This window comes from Homo sapiens, chromosome 14 (genome assembly GCF_000001405.40).
Source record: "Homo sapiens chromosome 14, GRCh38.p14 Primary Assembly".
Classification (NCBI taxonomy): Eukaryota; Metazoa; Chordata; class Mammalia; order Primates; family Hominidae; genus Homo; species Homo sapiens.
This window is the reverse complement of record NC_000014.9, coordinates 83,200,120-83,228,047: the sequence shown is the minus strand read 5'-3', so window position 1 is coordinate 83,228,047 and position 27,928 is coordinate 83,200,120. Positions and strand designations below refer to the sequence as shown.

Genomic DNA, 27,928 nt, shown 5'->3' with positions numbered 1-27,928 from the left:
GGAATACCAGTAACTGCAGGAAATGGCCATGTAAAATACATCATAGGATGGCAGCAGACATTGCAATGGGGTGTGAATTTGCTTTCCCCCTAAAATGTGAACTTTCATTTTCTTCATGCACTTGGTAAATAAGAAATGTCCTTAATGCTGTGATTCAAATTGTTCATCGTACCTTGGAAAACAGACACCATTTAAATATTTAAAATAACACTAGTCTTTGATTTGCACTGGCAGATAGGTATTCAGTCCAGAGAAACACAACTCCACGGAAATGGCATGTAAGAACGTAACTTATTCATTTGCATTTTTCAGAGTTCCATGTCATCTTGATATTTTTCATGAATATTTTTAATAGTTTTAACTATTGAAGTTTCTGTAATATTTAAAAGCAAAAATTTTGAATATAATTTTAGACTGGGTTATGTATGCCTGTTAATTTTTAAATTAATTCTCCCTGAACTTCTAAGTAATCTCATTGAGCTGTGGTCATTTACTCTCTTGAATGATCAGCTAGTCCTTTAGTTTTAGTTCATGACCTCTTCAGCAATGTTGTCATAGCTTTTAAGAAATTTAGCACTCACTTTTCTTTGACTAACCTAACCCTTGTTTTCAATCCTGTTTTTGCTCCATTGCCTTCACTATAGACATTATGAGAGACATGCCACATAGTTTTTGAAAGTAATACATAAGCTAAAATCACCTTGGGGCTTTTTTTAAATTTAAATATTTTATTTTTTCTGTGCACATACTAGGTGTATATAGTCACGGGTTACATGAGATATTTTGATACAGGCATGCAATGTGTAATAATCACATTGGCATAAATGGGGCATCCATCCCCTCAAGCATGTATCCTGTGTGTTTCAACCAATCTAACTATATACTCTTTTAGTTATTTTTAAATGATAATTAAATTCTTTTTGACTAGTAACCTTGCTGTGCTAGCAGATACTAGGTGTTATTCATTCCTTCTAACTACTTTTTGGTACCCTTTAACAACTTAGGGCTTTTGGAGTAAATTTACTGTTAATCTTTTTAGGGCATGAGAGTTTCAGGAAATAACCATAAAGTAAATCTGAGTCAAATAATTGTTGAAATGTGGTTAGTAACACAATTAAAGATGATTTTCCCTTTTGCCAACTGATTAACAGGAAATTGACTTACCCTCACTTTTCATAAAATAGCAAAATATAAACAATAACTTTCAGACATTGAACAATAGATGATATGCAACCAGGAGTGGTAAAAGAAGGAAAAACTATTAAAGTGAACCCAACAATTTTTCCAGTGTACTGTTCAATTTCTTTTATTTATTTATTTATTTTTTTTGTGAGGCGGAGTCTCACTCTGTCACCCAGGCTGGAGTGCAGTGGTGCAATCTTGGCTCACTGCAACCTCTGCCTCCTGGGTTCAAGGGATTCTCCTACCTCAGCCTCCCAAGTAGTTGGTACCACAGGTGCACACCACCACATCGGCTAATATTTTTGTATTTTTAGTTGAGATTGGGTTTCGCTATGTTGGCCAGGCTGGTCTCAAACTCCTGACCTCAGGTGATCCACCCTCCTCGGCCTCCCAAAGTTCTTGGATTACAGGCATAAGTCACTTTGCCTGACCTCATTTTCTAGGTCAAACAGAATAGGAACCTAAACATAGCACCCTTGCTGAATAGGCGAGACAAAGACCGAACGAGCTGGGAGATCAAAGCAACTAGAATTTATGGAGTAAACTGTCAGGCCTCTGAGCCGAAGCTCAGCCATTGTAACCCCTGTGACCTGCACATATATGTCCAGATGGCCTGCAGGAGCCAAGAAGTCTGTGGCAGCCGAAAAACCACAAAAGAAGTAAAACAGTCAGTTCCTGCCTTAACTGATTAACCAACATTACAACATTCCACCACTGTGACTGTCCCTGCCCTACCTTACCTGATCAATCGACCTTGTGACATTCTTCTTCTGGACAATAAATCTTATTGTTACAGGTGGATCTTTGTTCTTGGAGCTCCCAGGATGGTGGCAGGCTGCTCCCAAGATGGCGGCAAGCCTTTGGTCTCTGACCTGGGGTTCTTGGCCTCATGGATTCCAAGGAATGGAACCGTCGGCCATGCGGTGAGTGTTCTAGCTCTATTTGAAGCCGCGGGTCATGGAAGAGAGCCGTGGAACCCAGCAACTAGTGTTGAGCTCGATTAGGACGAACCCAGGCACTTAGCCTAGCAGGAACAATGGCGAGCCTCTAGCCCATCAGGAGCAGCAGCGGGTGCCTCCCTGGATCAGAAACACAGCAGACACCCTGGCGGATTCAGAGGGATGGAAGTCAGTGGCGGGTCTGTGACGGTGTCATTCAGCAGTGGTCGACGGCGAGCGAAAGCTCAGCTCGAGCCGGAACAAACACGGACCGGAAGAGTGTGCAGTTGGAAGATTTAACAGAGTGAAAACAGAGCTCCCATACAATGGGAGGGGATCCAAAGGGGGTTGCCCACTCCCAGCTTGAATGTCTGGGTTTTATATCCCTATCATTGTCCCTCCCCCTGTGCTCTCAGGTGATAGATGATTTGACTATTTCTTTACCTCCTGCTTTTAGCCTAATTGGTATTTTAGTGAGCCCTCTTTACTACCAGATTGGTCAGGTGTGAGCTGAGTTACAAGCCCCATGTTTAAAGGTGGTGTGGTCACCTTCCCCAGTTAGGCTTAGGAATTCTTAGTCCACCTAGGAAATCCAGTTAGTCCTGTCTCTCATTATGATCTCCCCACCATGTACCTTGTAACCCCCTCCTCTGCTAACAATAGATAACCACATTTTACTGTAATTTTCCTACCCAACTCTTACAAAGCAACCCCTTCCCCATCTCCCTTCGCTGACTCTCTTTTCGTACTCAGCCCACTTGCACCCAAGTGAATAAACAGCCTTGTTGCTCACACAAAGCCTGTTTCGGTGGTCTCTTCACACGGACGCACTTGACATAAACTATCAGAGAAGAGAGTGTTGAACAGAGGGAGAGACAAGGTGCTGTGTAGAAGGGAACTCTTCCAGGCTTTAGCTGAATATTGATCTGTGCATGCATGAGAAAAAACTAGCTGAGATTGGTGAAAGAACCATTGAAAAGCAGTTGGCAGAACAATTTCCAGAGTTCACACTGGGCTGGGAATAGCTTATGTTTTAGTCAGAGTTGAAAGACTTCTTAAAACGTAGGGCAACATAAGCAACTTCATGTCAAACCAGAATGATATTTTATATTCATCTATGTAATTTTAATCTATTCCTAAAGGTAGAGCCTTGGAATGGTATCACTTCTGTAATTAAAAGTTTCTCTTGACTCATCCTTGAAAAGGTTTTCTATAAAAGGCTGAAAAATATTAAACTACTCCAATTAATTTAAGCATGTTCAGATCAAAGATCAACAAACAATATTTAAAGGAATATGACAAAATTTAACATCCATCTCTGTAAAATACACAACATTTAGATCCAAAATTAGTCAGACATACAAAGAACCTAGAATATGCCACAAACATCCAGAACAACATCAACAACAGATGAAACAATGTACTAAAAAAGCAAAGCCATAGGTTCATCTCAAAAGATGCAAAAAGAAAACATAATTCAGTATACATTTATATTAAGTTCGTGTAAAAGTAATTGCAATTTCTGCCATTACTTTTAACTATTTTTACACCAACCTAATTAAAAAAAGAGCTCCAAAAATTTAAAAGAGAAGATAACTTCTTTAACCTACTAAACATGTCTTCAAAATGTACAAAGATACCATCAAACTTGATGATAAAGAACTGAATTCCTTCCCCTGAAGATCTGGAACAAAACATGTACGTCTGTTTAATTACTTATATTTACTATTGTAACTGGAGGATCTAGCCAATAAAAGAGGACAAGAAAAAATAAATTAAAATTACATAGATTGGAAAGTAGAAATTAAAATTGGGATGATTCGCAGATGACCTACTTATGAGTGTTGAAAACCTATCTATAAAAATGCCTCTACAATCAGTAAATAAATTTAGAATGGTCAAAGGATATGAGATTAATTTACAAAAGCTAAATGTATTGTTATACAATAGCAATGCACCATTAGAAACTGAAATTTAGAAAAATTATTGCATCAGTAATACAAAATACTTAGGAATAAATTAAACACAAAAAATTGAGGAAAACATACACACTGAAAATAGAAAACATTGCTATGTGAAATCAGTGGTGTTGGTGGAATAAGCCTCTTCTAAAAGCTACTCCTCCTTAAGAGCATTAACAAATTCTGAAAAAAAAAGTGTAAAACTTGAAATTTTTCAGAACCCTGGAATATAAGGAATATAAGAGAAAGCTTGCAATAACCCAAGGAGTATTTATTCCAGAAAAAACAGCTGAACCTCAGGAAGAAAAGTTGAATTTTAGTAAGAAAAGTAAGCCTGTTAGCTTGTTCTGTTCTCATCTCCTTCCTAGCTCCACAAACCTGCAAAAGTAGTGAAAATCTGAATGCTAGCAGCCACTGGAGTAGACAACACAGGTTTGGAAATCCTCCAAACACTGTTCTCAGAACATGGCTATTATGTGATATGTCTGGTAATTCTCTAGGAACCCTCTTTCACAGGATTTGTCATTATTTGACCTAAATTAGACTTTTCTCAGTGTAAACTGTCTTTTTCACAGGGGCATTACTGAAAAATGATCAATGACAATTGTTTAATAATGCAACTGCCTAACAGTGACAATAATTGGGGCAAACAAGATGCTGATAAGAAATCTAAAAATGAAGATGTGGGAATTAAATGTCCATAGGAGACTTTGAAAATGTACAAAATGTTCCTGGGAATCTAGAAAGTCATGTTGAATTGTCAAGTTGTACTTATAATCAGGGTTGTGGACATACACAGTAGAGAACTTTGAAGTCCCTCAGGTCTCACCTCCTGTTGACCATGAGGTTCTACGCAAGTAGATAGTGAAGGATAAGACAGAGTTATAAACACTGCTTGTCTATTGGTGGTATGACCCAACACATACAAAGTTTCTTGGCAAAGCCTGGGATATTTATTGGATCTAGGCACTTAGAGAAGTATCTGTCCAATCATTAGATGGCCACTAGGCTAGGCAAGCAGAGACTTCAGTTGCCCTAAAAACTAAAATAACACAGACTTTACTGAATTCATTGAGGAAAATCACTGAAGCACACCAAGAGCAACAAAAACTATAAGCAGCTGCAATCCTGGGGGAATCTGTCTTTCCGAGTTAGAGTATTTAGTAATTTAAAATGTCCAGTTTTTGGCCGGGCGTGGTGGCTCACACCTGTAATCCCAGCACTTTGGGAGGCTGAGGGGGGCGGATCACGAGGTCAGGAGATGGAGACCATCCTGGCTAACACAGTGAAACGCCGTCTCTGCTAAAAATACAAGTTAGCCGGGCGTGGTGGTGGGCACCTGTAGTCCCAGCCACTCGGGAGGCTGAGGCAGGAGAATGGCGTGAACCCGGGAGGCAGAGCTTGCAGTGAGCCGAGATTGCACCAATGCACTCTAGCCTGGGCGATAGAGCGAGACTCTGTCTCAAAAAAAAAAAAAAAAAAAAAAAAGCCAGTTTTTAACAACAACCACAAAAAGATATAAAACATTCAAAGAAACAAGAAAATATATTTCATACTCAAGTAATAAACAAGTCAATAGAATCTGTTTCTGAGGAATCCCAGACATTGGACTAGCCAGATAAATACTGCATCACCTATGTTAAATGCATTAGAAAAACTAAAGGAAACCAAGTCTAAAACGCTAAAGAAAAGTGTATTAACCAGGTTAGTCTTTCAAAACAAAACATCATAAAAGGGATGGCTTAAAAACAGCAAAGTTCTGGAGGTTGGAAGACTAATATCAGGGAGCCAACATGGCTGAGCTCTGGGGATGGTTCTCTTCCTAGTTTGTAAATGGCCATTTTCTCACTATGTCCTTACATGGTGGAGAGAAAGCTCTGGTGCCTCCTCTTTTTCTTATAAGGGAACCAGTATTATTACATGTGGGATCTATCCTAATGACCTCATTTAACCTTAATCAATTCCTTAAAGGCCGTGTCTCTAATACAGAAACATGGGATTGAGCTTCAACACATGAATTTTGCCAGAACACAATTTAGTCCATAGTCTTCCCTCAGCTGGTGCTTCAGAATTTAAGTTCTTCTTTTAGGCAAAAATATGTTCATTCCATCCCAACAGCCTTGCTCTCCAGGTCAGTAGTAGGAGTGGCAGCCTTGATGATCTATGAATTGCCAACAATCCCCATAGCCTTAGCTCATTCTAGCATTAAAGTCTCATTTAAATATCATCTAAATAAGTTGCAGGTGAAGTAAGGTATAATTTATACTGAGAACAATTCTCCAACTGTGAACCTTTTAAACAGGATGAGAGATATGTTCTAAAATACGCTGAGGGACAGGCAAAGGATAGATATTCCCATTTCAAAATGGAGAAAGTGTTGGTTCCAAGTCTTTGCTATTGTGAATAATGCCGCAATAAACATACGTGTGCATGTGTCTTTATAGCAGCATGATTTAGAGTCCTTTGGGTATATACCCAGTAATAGGATGGCTGGGTCAAATGGTATTTCTAGTTCTAGATCCCTGAGGAATCGCCACACTGACTTCCACAATGGTTGAACTAGTTTACAGTCCCACCAACAGTGTCAAAGTGTTCCTATTTCTCCACATCCTCTCCAGCACCTGTTGTTTCCTGACTTTTTAATGATTGCCATTCTAACTGGTGTGAGATGCTATTTCACTGTGGTTTTGATTTGCATTTCTCTGATGGCCAGTGATGATGAGCATTTTTCTGGATTAAGAAAATGTGGCACATATACACCATGGAATACTATGCAGCCATAAAAAATGAGTTCATGTCCTTTGTAGGGACATGGATGAAACTGGAAATCATCATTCTCAGTAAACTATCGCAAGAACAAAAAACCAAACACCGCATATTCTCACTCATAGGTGGGAATTGAACAATGAGATCACATGGACACAGGAAGGGGACTATCACACTCTGGGGACTGTGGTGGGGTGGGGGGAGGGGGGAGGGATAGCATTGGGAGATATACCTAATGCTAGATGACGAGTTAGTGGGTGCAGCGCACCAGCATGGCACATGTATACATATGTAACTAACCTGCACAATGTGCACATGTACCCTAAAACTTAAAGTGTAATAAAAAAAAAGAAATAGTTTATTTATGATATAGAGCCTCACTGACTATCAATAATGTATTTTATATTCTTTTTTGTATGAAGATATTAAAAGGGGATACATTGGAAATATGTACTTTGGGGGAGGGGCTATTTTTTCAGTTACTATATATTTTTTATCTCCAAGGTAAAATAATATCATAATAAAAACCTTTTAAAAAAAACAAAAAAAAAACAAAAAAACAAACAAAAAAAAAAAAGGAGAAAGTGGAAGAAAGGAAGGGGTGACAGGTCTCAAGCAAGTCCAAAACCTAGGAATACAATTGCTGTTAGATCTTAAGGCTTGACAATAATTATTTTTGGTTCAATATTCTGCACTCCAGGACAACTGTGGTAACAGTGTCCCCTGGTTTTCCAGGGAGGCCCCATCCATCATATTCTCGGTAAGGGTCCCAACCATGTGGCTCTTCCTGCAAAGGTGGTCCTGCCCATGAGGCACGTAGTGGGGTTATTCTGGCCCACTGAATCTAAAGAGGTGACCTCACCTTTTGAAACTGAGATATGTTCTAAAACAGCCTTCCTCTCTGGGGCCACGGTGGCGAGAGTGGTAGCCCTGATGATCTTTGAATTGCCTCGAGGGCCATTCTTGCAGTTCCTTAAAGAACAGTACACATTCCCAGTTGAATAGCTCCAGTCCTGTAGAATCCATGAATTCTACAGACTTCTTTAATTCTACCCTGCTTTCTCTGTCCTCTTTCCTCCCAACTGGCAATGTCTTTGCTGATATAATCCCATCTCTATTCCTGGTTTTTACTAAAATGGCTAAAATTAAGTCCATGCGTCACAACAGTTATCTCTTTATCAAATGGTTATTTAGTCACACCCTTAGTGTTCCCTTCAGAATAACCTCTCTCACTTTTGCAACTTGGATAGTCTGAGAGTTTTCCAAATTTTCAAGTTCTTCTTGTTTTGCTTAAAAGTTCTTTTTTCAATTCATCTCTCTCTTTTTACATTTTACCATAAGCAGTCAAAGTGAAGCAAAGTCATTTCTTCAACACTGTTTAGAAATTTCCTCAGCTAAATATCCAATTTTATCACTGCAAATTCAACCTTCCACACACTAGAATGCAGTTCAACCAAGTTATTTTCTGCTTTGTACCAAGGAAAACTGAACCTTTTGTACAGTTTCCAAAAACATGTTCCTCATTTCTACTTGAGACCTCACTAGAATTGCCTTTAAAGTTCATATTTCTAGCATTCATCTCAAAACTTTTCAACCTCTACCTGTTACCCAGTTCCAAAGCTGCTTCTAAATATTTAGGTATTTGTTACAACAGCATCCCACTGCTTGATATAAAAATCTGTCTTAATTGGGCTTCCATAATAAAATACCATAAACGTAATTTTCTTTTTACAGTTCTGGAGACAGAAAGTCCAAAATCAATGCACTGACCTGGAAAGTGCTACCTTATCACTGTATCTTCACATCAAAGGAAGTGCTTTGGTGTGTCTTTCTCTTCTTATGAGGGCACCAATCCTACTGAATAAGAACAATCCTTATGACCTCATTTAATTTTAATCACCTCATTCAAAGCTCTATCTTCTCTCTATTTTTAATATAGTCATTTTGAGGGTTGGAGCGTCATTATTTAAATTTTGAGAGGACACAATTCAGTTAATACTGGAAAGTATGAGAATGATGTCTCAAGAAATAGGGAATATCAAGAAAGAAATTTACAAATATATATATATCAGAATTAAAAATTGCAATTAGTAAAATGGACAATTGACTAGTAATTCTTAACTGCAAATTTAAAAAGGCACAATAATCAAAAAACTAGAAGACAGGTAATTAAAGAGTATCCTGTTTGAGAAAGAAAAAGAAAAAAAGCATGAAAAAATTGAGAAAAGTGTAATTGACCTCCAGGTCAATTACAAATGTTTCAATACACATGATGGGAATCCCAGAAGAAAAGAAAAAGAGAAAAGAAGATGTGAACAACATTTTAAAAAATAATAAATAGAAGCTTCTCAATTTTGATTTAAAAATAATCTACACATGCAAGAAACACAACGAACCTCAAGTTAGTTAAACTTAATAAGCTCCACATCTAGATACATCAAACAAGCTATAGAAAGCCAAAAGCAAAGAGATATCTTGAAGGAAATATGAGACGAGCAAGTCATCACGTACAAGGAGTCTCAGTAAGATGAATGGCTGATTTCTTATCAGGAACCACAGTGCAGGAGGTAGTGTGATGTCATATTCAAAGTTCTGAAAAAAACAAAAACAAAAACGTCAATTTATATTTCTGCATCTGGCAGAACTGTATTTCTGTAAAAGTAGAAATTGAGACATTCCAAAAAAACAAAAAGTGAGAAAATCTATTAATCTCAGAGGTTCCATACATGACATACTAAACAGTGTCGTTCAGACTATAATGCAAGTACACTAGAGAATAATTAGAATCCATATGGAGAGCTAAAGATCACAATTAAAAGTTAATTACATAGATAAAAACATAGTGCAAGAGATTCTTTCGTTTGTAACACATTTTTGTCGACCATCTAATTTAAAAGACAAAATTTGAAAAATGCAATAATTATAACTGTTGTTGCGCATAGAATGAATACAGAAATAATTTAGGAGGTGGAGCAAGAAGGCCAAATAGAAGCCTCCACAGATAATCCTCCCTGCAGGAACACCAAATGTAACAAGTATGTACAGAAGAAAAGCACCTTCACAAAACTAGAAATCAAAGGATCTATCACAGTACCTGGTTTTTAACTTCATATTGCTGAAAGAGGCACTGAAGAGGGTAGGAAAGACAATCTTGAATTGTCTGTGCTGCCCCTCTTCCAGCCCCCAGCAGTTGCTGGGCAAAGTGGAGAATCTGTGTGGTTGGGGGAGAGAGAACACAGTGATAGTAGAACTTTGCATCAGAACTTAGTGCTGTCAACATTGGATGGAACTCAACTGATGCCAATAGAGGGAGTATTTCAATAAGCCCTAGTCAGAAGGAAATTTCCCATCCAGAGGTCTGAACTTGAGTTTTGGCAAGCCTTGCCACTGTGAACTAATATGATACAGAGTCCTAAATAAACTTGAAAGACAGTCTAGGCCACAAACTGCAATTCCTAAGCTAGTCCTAGTACTGTTCTGGGCTCAGAGCCAGTGAAGTTGGGGGCATATGATCAAGTGAGACATCAGCCAGGGCAGCTCAGGGAGTGCTTGCACCATCCCTTTCCCAACACCAGGCAGTGCAGCTTGCTGCTCCAAGACTCTTTATTTCCACTTGAGGAGAGGGGAGGAAAGGGTAAAGAGGATTTTGTTTTGCAACTTGAATAGCAGCTGAGCCACAGTAGGATAGAGAGTAAACAGAGTTGTGAGGCTCACATTCTAGGCCCTAGCTCCCATAAAACATTTCTAAACACATCCTGGGTCAGAAGGGAAAGCACTGTCTTAAAGAGAGGGATCCAGTCCTGGTGACAATCAGCTCCTGCTGACTAAAGAGTCCTTGGGCTCTGAATAATCAACAGTGATATCCAGGTAGTATACATTGAGGGCTTTGGTGAGATCCTGAGATGTGCTGGCTTTAGGTGTGACCCAGAACATTCCCAGCCATGGTCACTACGAAGAGACATTCATTCTGCTTGAGAAAAGCAGAGGGAAGAGAAAAGGGGACTTTGTCCTGTAGCTTAATGAGTTCAACCACAGTGGTGTAGAGCACCAAGTGGGCTCTTAGGGTCTCAATTCCAGGCCTTGGCTATGGCATAACATTTTCAGACCTGCCCTGTGACAAAGGGGAGCCCACTGCCCTAAAGGTTGATTCCGAGGCCCATCAGCATTCACTCCAAGCTCTTGGGCCATAAGTGAACATTGGCAGTACCCCCGTGGGCTTCTGGTGTTGGTGGCCACAGGGAGAGAACCCCTTTCCTGTGGAAAGGTGATAAAAGAGAGATTAAACACTTTGTCTTGTGGTTTGGGTGCTAGCAGCCATAGTAAAATAGAGTACTAAGTAGATTTCTAAGGTTTTCGACTGCAAACCCAGGCTCCCACATGGCATCTCTGAACCCTCCCAGGCCCAGGGGTCTGAGGAAACTTGGCACCTTGAAGGAAAAAAAAAAAAAGTCTGGCTGGTTGACTTCACCACCTATTGACTGTAGAGCCCTAGAACCTCGAGCAAACGTGGGCAGTAGCCAGGTCATGGTGAAAGCAGGACTTGGGTAAGACCCCAAAGCTGTCCCATTGGTGGTGGCTACAAAGTACCGTGTCAAATTTTCCATAGCTCCAGGCAACTCAGCACAGAGGAAAAGACTCCATTTGTTTGGGCAAAGCAAGGAAGGAAACAAGAGTCTTTGCCAGGTAATTCAGAGAATTCTTCCAGATCTCATCCAAGACAATCAAGGCAGTATCTATGAGTTTGTAAGTACCACAGCATTAGTGGGCTTAAGGGGGCCCCTAATGCCGCTACTGCTGCAGTGACCAAAAAGTTAGATCACAACACCCAAATTTCTTTAAATATCTGAAAAGCCTTCCCAAGAATGATGGCTACAAACAAGCTCAGACTTCAGAGACTACAATAAATACCTAACTCTTCAATGCCCAGACACTGAAGAACATCCATTAGCATCAAGACCATTCGAGAAAACATGATCTCACCAAATTAACTAAATAAGACATCAGGGAATGGTCCTGGAAAGTCAGAAATATGTGACCTTTCAGATAGAAAATTCAAACTAATTGTTTTGAGGAAGCTCAAAGAAATTCCAGATAACACAGAGAAGGAATTCAAAATACTATCAGGTAAATTTAACAAAGAGACTGAAATAATTTAAAAGGATCAAGCAGAAATTCTGAAGATGAATAATTCAATTGACATACTGAGGTATGCATCAGAGTTTCTTAATAGCAGAATTGATCAAGCAGGAGAAAAAATTAGTGAGCTTGAAGTCAGGCTATTTGAAAATACACAGTCAGAGGAGACAAAAGAGAAAAGAATAAAAAAACCACTGAAGCATGCATATGAAATCTGGAAAATGACCTTAAATGGTAAAATCCATGAGTTATTTGCCTTAAAGAGGAGGTAGAAAGAAGAAAGAGTTAGAAATTTTATGTGAATGAATAATAACAGAGAACTTCCCAAACCTAGAGAAAGATATCAACATTCAAGCACAAGAAGTTTATAGAACACCAGGCAGATTTAACACAAAATGATTAACTCAATATTTTTAATAATCAAACTCTCAAATGTCAAAAATAAAGGAAGAATCTTAAGAACAGCAAGATAAAAGAAACAAATACATACAATGGAGCTTTAATACATCTGAGAGCAGACTTTTCAGTGGAAACTTTACTGGCCAGAAGAGAATGGCATGACATATTTAAAGTGCTGAAGGAAAAAAAACTTTTACACTAGGATAGTATTTCCAGCAAAAATATTCTTCAGGTATGAAGGAGGAATAAAGCTATCCCCAGAGAAACAAAAGCTGAGAGATTTTATTAACACTATATCTGTTTTATGAGAAATACCAATGGGTAATCTTCAATCTAAAATAAAAGAACATTAATGAGCAATAAGAAAAAATCTGAAGATACAAAACTTACTGTAACAGTAAGTTCAAAGAAAACCACAGAATATTTTAACATTGTAAATATATTTACCCATGTATTAGGTAGAAAGACTAATATGAACCAATCAAAAATAATAACTACAACAACTTTTGAAGACCAAGACCATATAATAACATATAAACAGAAACAAAATTTAAAAAAGTGGGGGAATGAGGTTAAACTGTACACTTTTATTAATTTTTTTTTTTTGCTTGTTAGTGAGTTTGTTTATGCAATCAGTGTTGTCATGAATTTAAAACAATGGGTTATATTTGCTAGCTTCATGCTAACCTCAAATCCGAAAACACACAATAGATTCATAAAAAATAAAAAGCAATAAATTAAAACAAACCACCAGATAAAATTATTTTCACTAAAAGGAACATGGGAGGAAAAGAAAAAAGGTAAAAAAGACCACAAAACAACCAGAAAACAAATAATAAAATGGCAGGAGTATGTCTTTACTTATCTTAAATAGCATTAAATGTTAATGTACTAAACTCTCCAATCAAAAGACATAGAGTAGCTGAGTGGATTAAAAAAAAAAGACCCCAAATCTGTTGCCTACAAAAAACACACTCCACCTATAAAGACACACATTGAAAATAAATGAATGGAAAAAGATATTCTATGCCAATGGACACCAAAAAAGAGCAGGAGTAAGTATACATATATGACACAGAATAGGTTTCAAGACAAAAAACTATAACAAGAGGTGAAGAAGTTCATTATATAATAATAAAGTGATCAATTTAGCAAGAGAATATAACCATTATAAATATGTATGTACCCAATACTGGAGCACGCATGTATGACAAGTAAATATTACTAGAGCTAAAGAAAGAGATAGACTCAAATACAATAATAGTTGAAGACTTCGATACTGCACTCTCAGCACTAGACAGATCATCCAGACAGAAAATCAACAAAGAAAAGTCAGATTTAATCTGCACTATGGATCAAATGGACCTTATAGATATTAAATATTTATACAACATTTTATCCAACAGCCAAAGAACACACATTCTTCTCCTCAGCACATGGGTCATGCTCAAGCATACACCATGTAAGTCACAAAACAAGTCTTAAAACATTCAACAAAATTGAAGTAATATCAAGCATCTTTTCTGACCACAGTGGAATAAATCAATAAAAAGAGGAATTTTGGAAAGTATACAAACATCTATAAATTAAATAATATGCTACTGAATGACCAATGAGTCAATGAAGAGATTAAGAAGGCAATTGAAAATTTTCTTGAAACAAATGATAATGGAAACCAACATACCAAAACCTATGCAATATAGCAAAATCAGTGTAAAGAGGGAAGTTTATAGCTATAAGTGCCTACATAAAAAAGCAGTAAAACTTTAAATAAACAACCTAGTGATGCTCCATAAAGAACTAGAAAAGCAAGAGGAAACCAAGCCTAATTTTAGTAGAAGAAAATAAATAATAAAGATCAGAGCAGAAATAAATTAATTTGACATGAACGGTACAAAAGATCAACAAAATAAAAAGTTGGTTTTTAGAAAAAAGATAAAGAAAATGGACAAATCTTTAGCCTGACTAATTAAGCAGAATAGAGAGAAGACCCAAATAAATGAAATCAGACACGAAAATGGAGACAGTACAACTGATATTGTAGAAATTCAAAGGATCAATAGAGGCCACTATGAGCAACTATATGTCAACAAATTGGAAAACCTATAGGAAACAGATAAACTCCTATGTACATAGAACCTAGCAAAACTGAACCATTAAGAAATCCAAAACCTGAACAGACAAATAGCAAGTGACTAGATCAAGTCATAATAAAATTTTCACCACATAAAAATGCCTGTGATTGATGGCTTCACTGCTGAATTCTACCAAACATTTAAAGAAGAACTAATACCAATCCTGCTGAATCTGCTCAGAAAAACAGAGGAGGAGAAAATACTTCTCAACTCATTCTATGAGGCCAGTACTACCCTGATGCCAAAAAAAGACAAAGACATAACAAAAAAGGAAAAATATCATAAGTCAATGTTTCTGATGAACGTTGACGCCAAAATCTCTACAAAATAGTGGTAAACCAAACACAACAGCATATTAAGAACATTGTTCATCATGACCCAACTGGAATTTATCCCTGAGATGCAACAGTGGTTTAACATTCACAAATTAATCAATGTGATACATCCTATCAACAGAATACAGGACTAAAACCATTTGACCCTTTCAATTTGTGCTGAAATTGTATTTGATAAAATTCAACATCACCTTGTGAGAAAAACCCTCAAAAACCTGAGTGTAGAAGGAACATATTGCAACATAATAAAAGCCATATACAAAGACAGCTAGTGTCATACTGAATGGGGAGAAAATGAAAGTCTTTCCTCTAAGATCTGGAACATGACAAGAATACCCACTTCCACCACTGTTATTCAGCATAGTGCTGGAAGTTTTAGATAGTGCAATCAGTGAAGAGAAAGAAATAAAAGTCATCCAGATTGGAAAGAAAGAAGTCCAATTATCCTTGTTTACTGATGATATAAACTTATATTTGGAAAAACATAAAGATTCCACTGAAAAACTATTAGAGCTGGTAAACAAATGTAGTACAGTTGCAAGATACAAAATCGACACACAAAAGGCAAACAAAAAAGAACATCAATTCTTTCCGATTGATTTATGGATTCAAAGAAATCCCATTCCAAATCCTAGTAGGTTTTGTAATGAAACTGACCAGCTTATTCAAAACTTTATATGGAAAAGTAGATGTCTAGACTAGTAAACATAATTTTTAAAATAAGAATAAAGCTGGAAGACATGGTATTTGATTTTAAGATGTACTATAAAACTACTGTAACAAAGAGTCTCAAAATTGATGCACATACATATATGATCAATTGATTTTTCAAAAAATATGTCAAGTCCTAATTGCAAAAGTCCAGAATATAAAAATCTTTGATTAAAAACTTTGAAAAATATTTGTTTTCTTAGAATAAACTTATAAGCCATATGAAAAAATGATTAATCAAAACTGATGAAAATCAAAATGTTGGTTCTTCAAAAAATAATGTTAAGAAAATGAACAGGGAAGTCACAGGATAGAAAATATTTGCAACATTTGTCTGATAAAGAGCTTATTTCTAAATAAAGGATTTGTTAGTTCTAAAAAGAAAATGGAAAAAATTACACATTTTAGACATTAAGATATACAAAAGGCAAATAATTATATGAGAAGAGTACATTTCTCATTCGGGAAGTGAAAATTAATTCCGCATTGAGATAACACATTACACTCACTAGGAGTTATGAAATTAAGACTGAAAACAGCAAATGTAGGCAACGATGGGAAGCAACTAGAACTCATACATTGTTGGTAAGATGTAAAAAGATACAGAAAATCAGAAAACAGTCTCATTATTTCTTAATCTTTCTTTATGACCTAGCTTCCTCCTTCCCACATATTTCTCCAGGATACATGAAAATGTATGTTCACACAAAGACTTTTACTCAAATGTACATAGCAGTTTCATTCTCATAAGCCCCAAATTAGATACAACCCAAATAATGTAAATGTGAATGGTAAATAAATGGGTGCTTTATGATATAATGGACAACTTCTGAGCAGTAAAAAGGAATGAACTACTGCCATAAAAATATAAGATGCCACACAAGCATTAGGCAAAGTAGAAGCAGCCAGACATAAATATGATATACCTACTTATTTGAAATTCTAGAAAAGACAAATCTAGAGACAGAAAGTGGATGTGTGGTTGTCAGGAACTGAACATTTTAATGAAAAGAGGCATGAGGAGACTTTGCGTTAATTAAAATGTTCTATATCTATGTTGTACTATAGGGAATATAACGCCAGCCAAATATGTAATTTTTTAAAGGTGTCCAGTAGCCAGATTAGAAAGGTAATAAGAAAGAGGTACAATTAAATTTAATTACAGTGTATATTTTATTTAACTCCATATCATTCACCATGTTGCATTAGCTATATTTCAAATGCTCAAGCATTATATGCATTTGGTTGCTGCTGTGTTAAAATGTGCAGTTCTATATTATGACTTTGGTGGTTTGATACCATACTCAGAATGTGATATATTTGCCAAAACTCATAGTATTTTGCACTTAAATTTACACCTTTTAATGTATGTAAATTATATATTAAAAAGCTACCTTAAAAGAAACAATAAAATAAACAGCACAAACAAGTAATGATGAGAATGACTCCCCTGTATACTTCAGGGAATATATGGAATCTATTCATATATACGTATATATGTGTTAAAAAACACATATGTCTGTCAATCTATCTTGCACTTGTCAAAATTAAAGAACCAATCAGATGTTTGAGAAACAATATGTTCTATATACAGAAAGTCAGAGAGCAGAGTAAGAAAACAGTGTACATAGAATTCTTTTTACACAAGGGGGAACACACTGTATATGTTCAATTTTATTTTGTTTTCTGGACTTTCTCTTCATAAAACACATAGTGTCTAAAACACTTGATTGACTCGAGTGTTTAGAAATGCAAGACATTAACGGCATTGAAACATACTCCAGAGAGAAGATAGTCCAAGGGTACTTGTGTTCCCTTAAGGTATACGTATGCCATTAATCCATATCAATGGCAGCAAAGAAACAACTCAAAGGGAAAAGAAGTACATCCCTTTATTATGGATTCATTTTTCAACACAGTCTTTTCAGCTGGCTGTTAATTTGAAATTCAAGGCAGAAATAAAAAATAGCATCTTGTCATGTAGCTTCAGATAAACAGATGTGAGCCTGGGCTTCATTGCCATGGGACCTTACTCTCCTTAATTTCAGTGACCTTCTGGGATAATTACAGTCACCATTTACAGAGTTTATTGATTAAGTAATTAATAAATGATGATAAACCCAGGCATTCGTACGTGTGTGTACTGCAGCAGCAGCAAAGCAGGTGTTGAATACAAAACTTCCACCTATGTAATAGCAGAGTCAGAATAAAATCTAGGAAGCACAAGCATTCTAACAGTCTCTGCTATAGTTGAAGAAATTAAAGAATTCCAGACATTCATTTCCATCTGCTCGTAGTTTGCAAAACTCTAAAGCATTGTCCAAAAGGACATTTCAAACAGCTACTTATAACAAACACATGGGAAGATTGAAAATGCTCAGTTCCAATACATTTTCACTAGAAATTTCATATCTATTCCCCATTTTCTTTATTGTCCTAAGTACCCTGCTGTCATTGCTGGAAATCATTTTCCTAAGAGTCCACAAAGTGAAACATTTCTAAAAGAAAATTATTTATTTAACCTCAAGAAGAAAATGTTAAGATTTTCTACACCAATACCTTTTCTGGTTTTAAACCATTCAGAGTTCATTTGTGTTCAATTGCATATATAGTAAACATTTATGTATATAAGCAAGAGAGACAGTATATATGTTTAACATTTCATGTAATTAGCTTAAATATTATTGTTATTATAAAAATAGGCAGAGTGAACTTAGTTTTCCGTTAGAAAATATCAGGAAAAAGTAAAACATACATATATATTTTAAAAATTCTTTTGATATTAATATTTTTATTTCTTGAAATATACATTTTAACAGGTTGGGACATTTTATTTACATTATTATTCTTTATATCACATAGAAAAATAAGCTACAAAATTTAAGAAGAAAATTTACATTGAAAACTGTCCGCGCAGCAGGCAGATTCCTCATAGATTATGGTGAATAAACTGTAAAAAGAAAGGCAAACCTCAGGAAATTTACTCTAAAGATGGCACACATCTTTATGGAGTGAGTGCTCTGTTCTTTGTACTGCAGGGAATAAGAAGATGAATGAGGAAAAGATACTGCCTTCTAATACCACTATTATCTAAAAGAGGTGATTAAAAAAAACTACATGAACATATTGTGCATAACAAAAGGGGGGAACATCCTAGAGGGTATTTTCAATCTGACACTTAAAATGCCAAAACAATAGCAACAAGATAAACACGTTGTACACACTCCCACACACAATACTTATAGTACATACACATATATAAATGAAATACTGCTTCCGGTCTTCCCTCCTCATTGTTATTCTTTTCCATAATATCTAAAAATTAACCTTCTGCCATCTAAAAAATGCTATTCTGTATTAGCCCAGGCTGGAGTGCAGCAGTACGATCTTGGCTCACTGCAACCTCCCTCTTCTGGGATTCTGTGATTCTCCTGCCTCAGCCTCCTGAGGAGCTGGAACTACAGGTGCACACCACCACACCCAGCTAATTTCTTCTATTTTAGAAGAGACGGGGTTTCACCTTGTTGCCGAGGCTGGTCTCAAACTCCTGAACTCTGGCAATCCACCTGCCTCGGCCTCCCAAAGTGCTAGGATGTATCTTTGCTGAGAAAATTGAAGTAGTCAACTTCCTCCTGTTTACACTAATGAGTCATGACATCCTAGAAACAAAACAGAACAAAACAAAAAAGGGAAACAAACCAAAACTTGCTTTAAGTTAACATCAAAATAGAAATTAGAGTTTACATTTACATTTAAGCTCTGCAAGGACTCCTTCTTCCTGATCTGAAAGGGAGGCTGTTTCTCAAGATAATGGCAGGGAATAGAGTCAGAATATTCATGCTTTTCAAGTTACCAGTTGATAGAGAATTTCGACCACTCAGTAGGCCACAGGCATAGTCTCAGGAAACTTCAACACCATCATGACTGGAGGATCTTGCAAGTCACCCTTGACTCACCTTCTTTGTCCCATTTGGCATCCAGTCATGGCTGCTAAGAGGATATTCAGGTCCATTTCCTGCTGCTCTGAAATGAAAGAGGAGGGCAGAGAAATTTCAAATATTCTCCAAACTAGAGTGTGGTAAGCACTTGGGGACCCAAAAATCTTGGCAGGGCTTATTCAGAGGGGATTAAACTGCCCTGTTCCTCCAGCACCTCACCATCATTTAAAGATGTCTAAGCAGAGGGGATTTCCCACTTGAGGAAATTGTGTCTTGAAGATGCACTATCCTGTCCATGCAAAGATTCCAGAAAGAACACACTAGGACCCAGCAAAGCAGGCTGGACTGGACCTCAAAGCCCAGTAAGTCTCACCTAAAGAAGTAACTACAGCCTATGGCAAACTAAAAAATCTCTCAGATTAGTATTTGTTTTGTTTTTGTTTTTGTTTTCTGAGACACTCTTGTTCTGTTTCCAAGACTGGAGTGAGTGGCACAATCTCGGTTCACTGAAACTTCCGCCTCCAGTTTCAAGTGATTCTCATGCCTCAGGCTCTGGAGTAGCTGGGATTACAGGTGGGCACCACCACGCCCAGCTAATTTTTGTATTTTTAATAGAGATGGGGCTAGGCTGCTCTCAAACTCCTGGCCTCAAGTGATCTGCCTGCCTCAGCCTCCCTAAGTGGTGGGATTACAGGTGCGAGCCACTGCACCCAGACTCTCAGATTAGTATTTGACTTTGGCCAGTATTCTTCCTCCTCTCCCACCCCAACATAGCAGAAACAAAAGAGAAGGAAATGAGAGAGCACACACCAGCCCCATCCCATGGTGAATTTCAGCCAAACCACAGCTGAGGGTAGAAGAGGAGATAGACATTATATTAGTTTTGTCTTTGGATTTTTTACATTTAAACTTTCCCTAGAGATTATAGAATCTACTCATGTCTAAATATTTAAATGTTTTTAAGTAGGTTGACTGTATATGTGTTATCTAAACTGAAACTTCTTTGAAAGTTAAAATAAAGGATGCTAAAAAATGAACAGGTGTTAATTTGTAATAGGTGTAAAATTTTATAGTGTAAACTGTTCCAGACTTGCCAGAAGGTATGATTGTCTTATCTCAGAGGAAAATAGCAAAACAACAACAACAATTTATGTTTGTCATCCTTTCAGATCAAGCTAAGAAAAAAAATGATTGAACTTTTCTTTTACAAACCTGACCTCAATGATAATTTTAGTAGTACATGTACTAAGGTCGGAGAAGTACATAGACTAGAGCTTAGGGCCACATCTAATTATCCCATTACCTTAAAACAGTCCAATAAAATTCACACTAAGATAAGCAGATATTTTATTCAAAGACTATTGTAACAGAAAGAATTCTCCAATCTCAGGATCTATAGAGGTGAGCAGAGAGCATGGTCCATGTGATCTGACAGAAAATATTTCTTGCTGTGGTCAGCCAATTCTCAACATGGACTGTTAGGGAGACAGTCTGTATTTTAGTTGGGGAAAAGCTGAAGATTAGGAGCATGTGTGGAGAAGATAAAAATGATGAAAGTGTGGTCCAGATAAGGTAGAAGGTAAATAAGGGACGACTGCAAACACGAGGTGAAACCATACATGGGAACATCAAGCCACATACTTATAGTGTGGCTTTCTCTCCTTCTCCAAATGTCTTTAGTCATTTCTCTTTACCTTAATCATGCATTGTTTCAGCCTTACACAAATTCAAAAGACTAAGATGAAAACAACCATATACCCCCCCATCCAGCTTAATTAGTCTTAATATGTTTCTCTATTTGCTTCACATATTTTCATTTTGTTATTTGTAAAAAATAAAATCTTATACAGCTACAACCCTTTGAGAACAATTCCCTAAACACATTCCCCAGCCTACTCCTGAAAAATGTAACTGCTATTCTTAATTTGTTGTGTTTTAATCCTTGAATGCAAATGTATAATCAACAATAGTTCCTGAATGTTTAAAAAATTTTTATAAATGTTCCCATACTCTCATAGTTATCATTACACAACTTGCTTATTTTCCACTGCACATCGTTCCATAATTTTAAACATTTGATTCATGCAGCTCTAGTTCATTAATTTCAGCTGCTGATTATAGAGTTGTACTTCATGAACGTTTCATAATATTTATGAATTCTTTAGTTGAGAACCCTTTTGTGAATTCTTTATTATTTCAAATAACACTGAAATGAACATTCGTTCAGATGTGTCCCTGGGTGCTTGTGCAAGAGGTTCCATGGTCTATATATCCAGATAGTGGGGTGTGCCTAGCTTTCTCTTTACCAGGTATGGTCATATTTGTTCTCTAAAGTGGTACTTCTAATTTATGGTGTCATTATCTATCTCTTGCTCCACTGCTCTCCAATACTTGGCACATAGGACTCTCTGACAGACTAATGTATGTAAAAAGATCTCATTAAAAAACTAAACAAAACAAAAAAATTTGTTATTTTATATAATTTTCTCTTCAGATACTTTGTTCTCAAATATCACTATACTCACCCTACACGTTTTTGCTATGAAATTATTTTGTTTGCATCTAATACTAAATACATTTAATGTATATATTAATTTATAAATAGATATGAGTTGTATAGTTGCTTAACGCTTATTTTCCAATTTAATTGCATTAAAGTCACAGATCATAATATCTTGTTATAATGGTCTTTGAGATTTACTTGAATTTACTCTTTGACTTTGTTTGTAGCCAGTTTGTAAATTTCAATGTATCCTGAACTTAACGCATACTTTAATTGTTAGGTGAAAAATTATATAAATCGATGTTAGAGCTCTCTCTATCATGTGTCTGTCTACATCTATGTAAGAAAATATTTTAATTTTACTTTTCAGATTTACTATGCACACCCTTAGCTTCTCATAGTAATATAATGAAGTCTCCCATGTTTCTATTTTGTTGGTTTCTACTTATGATTTTCATATTTTTTATTTATATTTTTGAAGCTGTGGTTTTAGATGCTAAATATTGGTGATGCTTAAATTTACTTGGTGAATATTTTCTTGGGTGGCTATTTCTGTTAAAGCTTATTGACTTAAATTCTATTTTTTTCTGCTAATGATTCTGCTACTGTAGCACCTTTGGTTTGGTTAGGAATTGCTTGCTGTATGTTTTTTGATTAACCTATTTTGAGACTTATTGTACGCATTTGTAGTAGAATTCTTTTTTAAAGCAACATGTAGTTTTACTACCATGAAAAATGTAAAACTCTCTATAAATGAGTTACTTTTGCCAATTTACTTTAATTGTGATTATTGATATATTTTGACTCATTTACAATGTCATATGGTGCGTTTTCTCTTAACTAGCATATTAATTTTGACGTTGTTGCTGCCTCTCCCTGCAACACCCCTCACCATGGTGCCCTTCCCTGAAAAATTATACTTTTTATTTCATCAGTGTTACTCTTGCCACATGATTTGATTTTCCCAATGACATTTGAGTGAAAGTAACACCTGTCATCCATGAGCAGAACCATTGCAGGCCAGTATGTGATTCGCTATCATCTCTTTTTCCTCTGTCAGAAGACTAGACATTCCTGGCCAGACAGAGTGGCTTACTCTGGTTATCCCAGCATGTTAGGGAGGCTGAGGCAGGAGGATTGCTTGAGGCCAGAAGTTTGAGACCAGCCTGGGTAATGAACAACATAGAGAGACCCCGTAAATATTTTTTAAATTATGGGTATATATGTGTGTGTTTATATATAATTTTAAACATTTAAACATTTTTTAAAATTAAAATTTGTATATATTATATATAAAATTTATATTGTATAAATTAAAATTTATGAAATACAAACTACCATCAGAGAATACTACAAACACCTCTATGCAAATAAACTAGAAAATCTAGAAGAAATGGATAAATTCCTCGACACATACACTCTCCCAAGACTAAACCAGGAAGAAGTTGAATCTCTGAATAGACCAATAACAGGAGCTGAAATTGTGGCAATAATCAATAGTTTACCAACCAAAAAGAGTCCAGGACCAGATGGATTCACAGCCGAATTCTACCAGAGGTACAAGGAGGAACTGGTACCATTCCTTCTGAAACTATTCCAATCAATAGAAAAAGAGGGAATCCTCCCTAACTCATTTTATGAGGCCAGCATCATTCTGATACCAAAGCCTGGCAGAGACACAACCAAAAAAGAGAATTTTAGACCAATATCCTTGATGAACATTGATGCAAAAATCCTCAACAAAATTCTGGCAAAACGAATCCAGCAGCACACCAAAAAGCTTATCCACCATGATCAAGTGGGCTTCATCCCTGGGATGCAAGGCTGGTTCAATATATGCAAATCAATAAATGTAATCCAGCATATAAACAGAGCCAAAGACAAAAACCACATGATTATCTCAATAGATGCAGAAAAAGCCTTTGACAAAATTCAACAACCCTTCATGCTAAAAACTCTCAATAAATAAGGTATTGATGGGACGTATTTCAAAATAATAAGAGCTATATATGACAAAACCACAGCCAATATCATACTGAATGGGCAAAAACTGGAAGTATTCCCTTTGAAAACTGGCACAAGACAGGGATGCCCTCTCTCACCACTCCTATTCAACATAGTGTTGGAAGTTCTGGCCAGGGCAATTAGGCAGGAGAAGGAAATAAAGGGTATTCAATTAGGAAAAGAGGAAGTCAAATTGTCCCTGTTTGCAGATGACATGATTGTATATCTGGAAAACCCCATTGTCTCAGCCCAAAATCTCCTTAAGCTGATAAGCAACTTCAGCAAAGTCTCAGGATACAAAATCAATGTACAAAAATCACAAGCATTCTTATACACCAACAACAGACAAACAGAGAGCCAAATCATGAGTGAACTCCCATTCACAATTGCTTCAAAGAGAATAAAATACCTAGGAATCCAACTTACAAGGGATGTGAAGGACCTCTTCAAGGAGAACTACAAACCACTGCTCAAGGAAATAAAAGAGGATACAAACAAATGGAAGAACATTCCATGCTCATGGGTAGGAAGAATTAATATTGTGAAAATGGCCATACTGCCCAAGGTAATTTACAGATTCAATGCCATCCCCATAAAGCTACCAATGACTTTCTTCACAGAATTGGAAAAAACTACTTTAAAGTTCATATGGAAACAAAAAAGAGCCCGCATCGCCAAGGCAATCCTAAGCCAAAAGAACAAAGCTGGAGGCATCACACTACCTGACTTCAAACTATACTACAAGGCTACAGTAACCAAAACAGCATGGTACTGGTACCAAAACAGAGATATAGATCAATGGAACAGAACAGAGCCCTCAGAAATAATGCCACATATCTACAACTATCTGATCTTTGACAATCCTGAGAAAAACAAGCAATGGGGAAAGGATTCCCTATTTAATAAATGGTGCTGGGAAAACTGGCTAGCCATATGTAGAAAGCTGAAACTGGATCCCTTCCTTACAACTTATACAAAAATCAATTCAAGATGGATTAAAGACTTAAACGTTAGACCTAAAACCATAAAAACCCTAGAAGAAAACCTAGGCATTACCATTCAGGACATAGGCATGGGCAAGGACTTCATGTCCAAAACACCAAAAGCAATGGCAACAAAAGACAAAATTGACAAATGGGATCTAATTAAACTAAAGAGCTTCTGCACAGCAAAGGAAACTACCATCAGAGTGAACAGGCAACCTACAAAATGGGAGAAAATTTTCGCAACCTACTCATCTGACAAAGGGCTAATATTCAGAATCTACAATGAACTCAAACAAATTTACAAGAAAAAAACAAACAACCCCATCAAAAAGTGGGCAAAGGACATGAACAGACACTTCTCAAAAGAAGACATTTATGTGGCCAAAAAACACATGAAAAAATGCTCATCATCACTGGCCATCAGAGAAATGCAAATCAAAACCACAATGAGATACCATCTCACACCAGTTAGAATGGCAATCATTAAAAAGTCAGGAAACAACAGGTGCTGGAGAGGATGTGGAGAAATAGGAACACTTTTACACTGTTGGTGGGACTGTAAACTAGTTCAACCATTGTGGAAGTCAGTGTGGCGATTCCTCAGGGATCTAGAACTAGAAATACCATTTGACCCAGCCATCCCATTACTGGGTATATACCCAAAGGACTATAAATCATGCTGCTATAAAGACACATGCACACGTATGTTTATTGTGGCATTATTCACAATAGCAAAGACTTGGAACCAACCCAAATGTCCAACAATGATAGACTGGATTAAGAAAATGTGGCACATATACACCATGGAATACTATGCAGCCATAAAAAATGATGAGTTCATGTACTTTGTAGGGACATGGATGAAAATGGAAATCATCATTCTCAGTAAACTATCGCAAGAACAAAAAACCAAACACCGCATATTCTCACTCATAGGTGGGAACTGAACAATGAGATCACATGGACACAGGAAGGGGAATATCACACTCTGGGGACTGTTGTGGGGTGGGCGGAGTGGGGAGGGATAGCATTGGGAGATATACCTAATGCTAGATGACGAGTTAGTGGGTGCAGCGCACCAGCATGGCACATGTATACATATGTAACTAACCTGCACATTGTGCACATGTACCCTAAAACTTAAAGTATAATAAAAAAAAAAGAAAAAAAGAAAATAAAAAAATAAAATTTATGTATATGAAATTTATATATAAATTAAAATTTATGTATATAGTTTATATATAAATTAAAATTTGTATATACAAATTAAAATTTATATATTTATATAGATATATACACACGCATGTGTTTATATGCATATATACGTGTGTGTATATATATACATATATATATATGTATATATATGTACACATGACTAGAGATTTTCAAATTTAAACTTCTGCAACAGCCTCAGTCATAGAATGATGATTACAAGGAGCCAGGCCAAGCTCAACCTACAGTAGACAAGTAGTCAGAACCAAAACAACACCAGTGTAAATGATACTTAGTGGTCATATTTTAGCACAGCGAAACCCTCATAATCTGACTGGAAAAGATGCTTGTCTCCTTCACTTTCTTTCTTTCTTTCTTTCTTTTTTTTTTTTTTTTTGAGATGGAATCTCACTCTGTCACTCAGGCTGGAGTGCAATGGTGTGATTTCGGCTCACTACAAGCTCCACCTCCCAGGTTCAAGTGATTCTCCTGCCTCAGCTTCCCGAGTAGCTGGGATTACAGGCGTGCACCAACATGCCTGGTTAATTTTTGTATTTTTAGTAGAGACAGGGTTTCACTATGTTGGCAAGGATGGCCTCAAGCTCCTGACCTCAGGTGATCTACCTGCCTCAGCCTCCCAAAGCGCTGGGATGACAGGCATGAGCCACCGCTCCCAGCCCTTGTGTTTCACTTTCTTCCCACCCTTTCCATCCTTCACTTGGTCAGTGCTTGAATACATAAGGTTTTCTACTTTTTATTTCTTTATCTTTCCTGATTTAGAAACTTCAAATTACATTCACTTTTTTTTCTGAAGGATGTCTTTAAATTTTCAGGGCACAAGGAATTTTGCAAGCATCAACTACCTATTGGTCACTCCCCTCCAACCAATGTGATATTCTTTACCTGAATTTTAAATTCACTTTTATTTTAAACCACACATAATAGCCTTTATAGCCAGTAACTTATTAAAATTACCAATATATTTTATTTATTTTTATAGAATGTTTATTATTTTTACTTTGAATGCTCTTTCTCCATCTGGTTAATGGCTACTTATCTAGTGATTCTGTGGTTGTTGGATACTTGCCCCAGTCTTCTGTCTAGAGCCAGGTCTTACAATGACAAGTTGTGGCTACCCTTCTCATGCTCATGTTAGAAACATTAAAGTACCAGTCCAGAGGCAGCAGGCAGCTTTGCTCAGGTCCGGATTAGCATGTTGTGGCTTTGTTCTCTTTCTCACTAGTATGTATTCCTCATAAACCTGAATGCCAAGTTGGGTGCAGTAATATATTTTTCCCCTAGCAGGAACCTGTAAACACCAAACAACTGTGTATTTTGTAGCCATATAAGTACACAGAAAGGAATTTTAAAAAATTTATAAAAGATACTACCAACCTAGCCCTTAATCAAACTTACATTTAAGGGTAGAAATTTTTTCTCATTTTCACAGAAGTTTCCGGAGAGCTTAGTGGACCCAATATCAGCCTCCTTTGGACAATATTTATTCTTGTTACTCCTCAAAACAATACTCCACTCCTTTCCTTGTTTTTTATTTTATTTTATTTTTTTTGTCCATGGAAATGCAAATGGTTCTGAACCTGGCTTTGGTCATTTGGCTTTCTCTTTGTAAATATTGCCTGTCATTCAAATGTGCTTAGAGCAGCGTAGCTTTTCAGAGAAGACCCTTACTACACCATAATGAATTTACTACACCATTTGAAT

General features: G+C 36.6%; 1 long non-coding RNA gene across 1 annotated transcript, besides 1 other annotated feature; it reads right to left on the bottom strand.

The window, feature by feature from the left end:
* Positions 1,431–2,630: an enhancer, noted in NCBI's record as "MED14-independent group 3 enhancer chr14:83691762-83692961 (GRCh37/hg19 assembly coordinates)". NCBI's record gives its function as "activates an origin of replication core promoter dependent on BRD2, BRD4, P300/CBP and CDK7 cofactors, and independent of MED14, by STARR-seq in HCT116 cells {active_cell/tissue: HCT116}" and the evidence as "EXISTENCE:reporter gene assay evidence [ECO:0000049][PMID:35650434]".
* On the bottom strand, positions 1,731–23,039 carry LOC107984645 (uncharacterized). Its single transcript, XR_001750933.1, has 5 exons — positions 22,996–23,039; positions 19,520–19,586; positions 9,359–9,439; positions 8,618–8,704; positions 1,731–2,286 (listed from the first exon to the last, which is right to left on the bottom strand). It is a non-coding gene; the product is annotated as an uncharacterized LOC107984645 (long non-coding RNA).
* Positions 23,040–27,928: the final 4,889 nt, after the last annotated feature.